The sequence below is a fragment of the Homo sapiens genome, chromosome 1, assembly GCF_000001405.40.
Source record: "Homo sapiens chromosome 1, GRCh38.p14 Primary Assembly".
Taxonomy (NCBI): Eukaryota; Metazoa; Chordata; class Mammalia; order Primates; family Hominidae; genus Homo; species Homo sapiens.
The window spans coordinates 148481413-148484606 of NC_000001.11; the positions used below are offsets into that span (position 1 = coordinate 148481413).

Below are 3194 nucleotides of genomic sequence, written 5' to 3' on the forward strand. Positions count from 1 at the left end.
TTGTAGCAGCTGCTACATGGCCTCCACCAGAAACAAGAGAAAGCATAACTGAATCTGCTTCTTTTTTTATTAATTCCGAAGTCGAAATTCAGCACTGGCAAACAGATTGGCAAAACCTAAGTCATATGCTTGTACCCTAGCTGCAAAGGAGGCTGAGAAAGCAAGCATTTGGCATTTTAGCTTCTAAAGCAGGAGGTGGTTTCTTGTTTTCGTCAAAACTGAGAGGCTGAGGAATTCCTCAAACACAGAAACAAACATCAAATAATAAATATTCATGCTTTCACTTGCTCAATATCAATATAAACTTTCCCTTTTGAAAGTAAACATGAAAGACCCAAGCTTCCTTCTAACAGAGTGCAACTATTTCTCTAATAATTGAACATGTACCTACAATCTCTTGAACAATGAAACAATAAAAAATTCTCAATCACAGCATGTACTCTAAGTCTAAGAATTCTGGGTTATGTCCATTCCTCTACGAAGTTCTTCACTATACTCTCTTGACATTCTGCCATATATCATTTAAAAATTAAGTTAATCACCCTCAATAAGCCCTGTTTTAAAAAGAGGGATAAATGGAGAGGAAAGAAGGAAAGTTGTTAAGATACATAAGTATGCACAGGACAATACAAGAGAAACAATGTGTTTGGATGTCAAGGCTCTCCTTTCTGCAAGTGGCCAGCAGGTCACTATTGGCATCTATGGCCATGTGCCCTCAGCTAACACCTCTGCTAGTCAGGGTTTTGCCTTGTGAGATGACCAAATATTCATTCCTGACAGAGAAATGTCCTTGATAATCTTTTTGTGTGAGCGTGCCATGGTCATTGTTAATTTCTTTCATTTAACAAAATAATAGACTTTATTTTTTGAGCAGTTTTAGCTTTATGGAAAGATCGAGCAGAAAGTACAGAGTTCTCACATACTGTCACCTTTATCCCACCCCCAGTTTACATTAGGGTTCACTCTTTGTGTGGTACAGGTCTAGGAGTTTTGCAAAACGCATAATGTCATGTACCCATCATTACATTATTACCAACGTATTTTCAATCCCCTAAAAATCGCCTGTTTCAGAACTATTTATCTCCCTACCCATCCCCAAACTCCTGGCAACCACTGAGCTTTTTTGTTGTTGTTGTTGTTACTTAGTTTTTATTTCATAATCATAAACTTAACTCTGCAATCCAGCTAGGCATGGAAGGGAACAAGGAAAACATGGAACCCAAAGGGAACTGCAGCAAGAGCACAAAGATTCTAGGATATTGCAAGCAAATGTGGTGGAGGGGTGCTCTCCTGAGCTACAGAAGGAATGGGTCTGGTGGTGAAAATAAAACACAAGTCAAACTCATTAGAATTGTCCACAGTCAGCAATGGTGATCTTCTTGCTGGTCTTGCTATTCCTGTACCCAAAGTGCTCCATGGCTTCCACAATATTCACACGTTCTTTCACCTTGCCAAAGGCCACATGCTTGCCATCCAACCACTCAGTCTTGGCAGTGCAGATGAAAAACTGGGAACCATTTGTGTTGGGTCCAGCATTTGCCATGGACAAGATGCCAGAACCTGTATGCTTTCGGATGAGGTTCTCATCATCAAATTTCTCCCCATAGATGGACTTGTCACCGGTGCCATTAGGGTGTGTGAAGTCACCACCCTGACACATAAACCCTGGAATAATTCTGTGAAAGCAGGAACCCTTATAACGAAATCCTTTCTCTCCAGTGCTCAGAGCACGAAAGTTTTCTGCTGTCTTTGGAATCTTGTCTGCAAACTGTTTGATGGAGATGCGGCCCAAGGGCTTGCCGTCGACGGTGATGTCAAAAAAGATGACGGAGTTGACCATGGCTGATAGTACAGGGCTCACAGCGATGGCGGCGTCTGCAAAGATAACCACTGATCTTTTTACTGTCTTTATAGTTTGGCCTTTTCTAGAATGTCGTATAGTTGAAATCACAGTATGTACCCTTTTCAGACTGGCTTCTTTCACTTAGCAAAATGTCTTTGTTTTTTCTGTATCTTTTTGTGGCTTGATAGTTTTTTCCTTTTAGCACTGAATAATATTCCACTGTAGGAATATACCACAGTTTGCTTATGCAGTCACTCATTGAAGGACATCTTGGTTGCTTCCAAGTTGTGGCAGTCTTCATTTCTTTCTTTCTTTCTTTCTTTCTTTCTTTCTTTCTTTCTTTCTTTCTTTCTTTCTTCTTTTTTTTTTTTTTTTTTTTTGAGACAGAGTCTTGCTCTGTCACCCAGGCTGGAGTGAAGTGGCACAATCTCAGCTCATTGCAACCTCTGCCTCCCAGGTTCAAGTGATTCTCTTCCTCAGCCTCTGGAGTAGCTGGGATTACAGGTGTGCACCACCACGCCTGGTTAGTCTTCAGGAATATTTACAGGACTGTATAGAATTAGGAGCCATCAAAGGGGATCCCTGAATTCTTTCTGTTTTTCTTACAAATACCAGTTTTAAGGTCAAGATTTACTACCCCATGCAACAGTGTAGCCGCATTTTAAATTTTAAATTTTTGACTGTTTCTTTAAAGGTCTCAGGCAACCTAAAAGGCTAGATAGAAGTCTCTCATCCTCTAACGAAGGATGGATTGTAAAATGGAATACTGCTAAGACTCTCCCTTTGGGTACTAATTCTGCAAAAACCTAGAATCTCAGAGACAAGAGATAAGTATTTGGAGTGGATCATTAGATGTAATGACAAAAGGAGTCACTTCAACATTCATAACAAATATCAAAGATTGTTGTATTTTTTATATGGGAGACACCAGACAAGCTTATACTTAGTTACTAGTTCAGAGGATACACCACCACATCCTCTAGCATGAGTACAACCTTATAAGCCATTGTCTCCAGCTGGCACTGTGATTGAGTCTTTAATAAAATATTCACCATTCTATAATAATAATAATTTTGGTTAGTGATAGGATAAATGGTGGACCAGGTGAGTCCAATGAATATCTACTCATTTGTTATACAACAAGTTCTTTTAATAGAAGGATGTAGAACAGGATATTATGGCAGTATATATAAGGCATTCAATGTACCCGTGGAGAGTGGCGATCAGAGAAAAATGATGTCAGGTAAAGCAAATGTAATTCAAGGATAAAGGTAGATTCCATTTACAAAATTCCTTGTTGCCTTTATCATAGAGGAGCTCCAATAAAATCAACAAGTCTGACAAAAGGTGA

General features: G+C 39.4%; 1 protein-coding gene across 1 annotated transcript; it reads right to left on the reverse strand.

The window, feature by feature from the left end:
* Positions 1-1135: 1135 nt before the first annotated feature.
* On the reverse strand, positions 1136-1890 carry PPIAL4G (peptidylprolyl isomerase A like 4G). Its single transcript, NM_001123068.3, has one exon. It carries the CDS (start codon positions 1838-1840, stop codon positions 1346-1348), a length of 495 nt encoding a protein of 164 aa, NP_001116540.1. The 5' UTR covers positions 1841-1890; the 3' UTR covers positions 1136-1345.
* Between the last annotated feature and the right edge of the window lie 1304 nt (positions 1891-3194).

Coding starts and splice junctions, on each gene's coding strand:
- PPIAL4G (NM_001123068.3), bottom strand. CDS start 1,840: ATGGTCAACTCCGTCATCTTTTTTGACATCACCGTCGACGGCAAGCCC.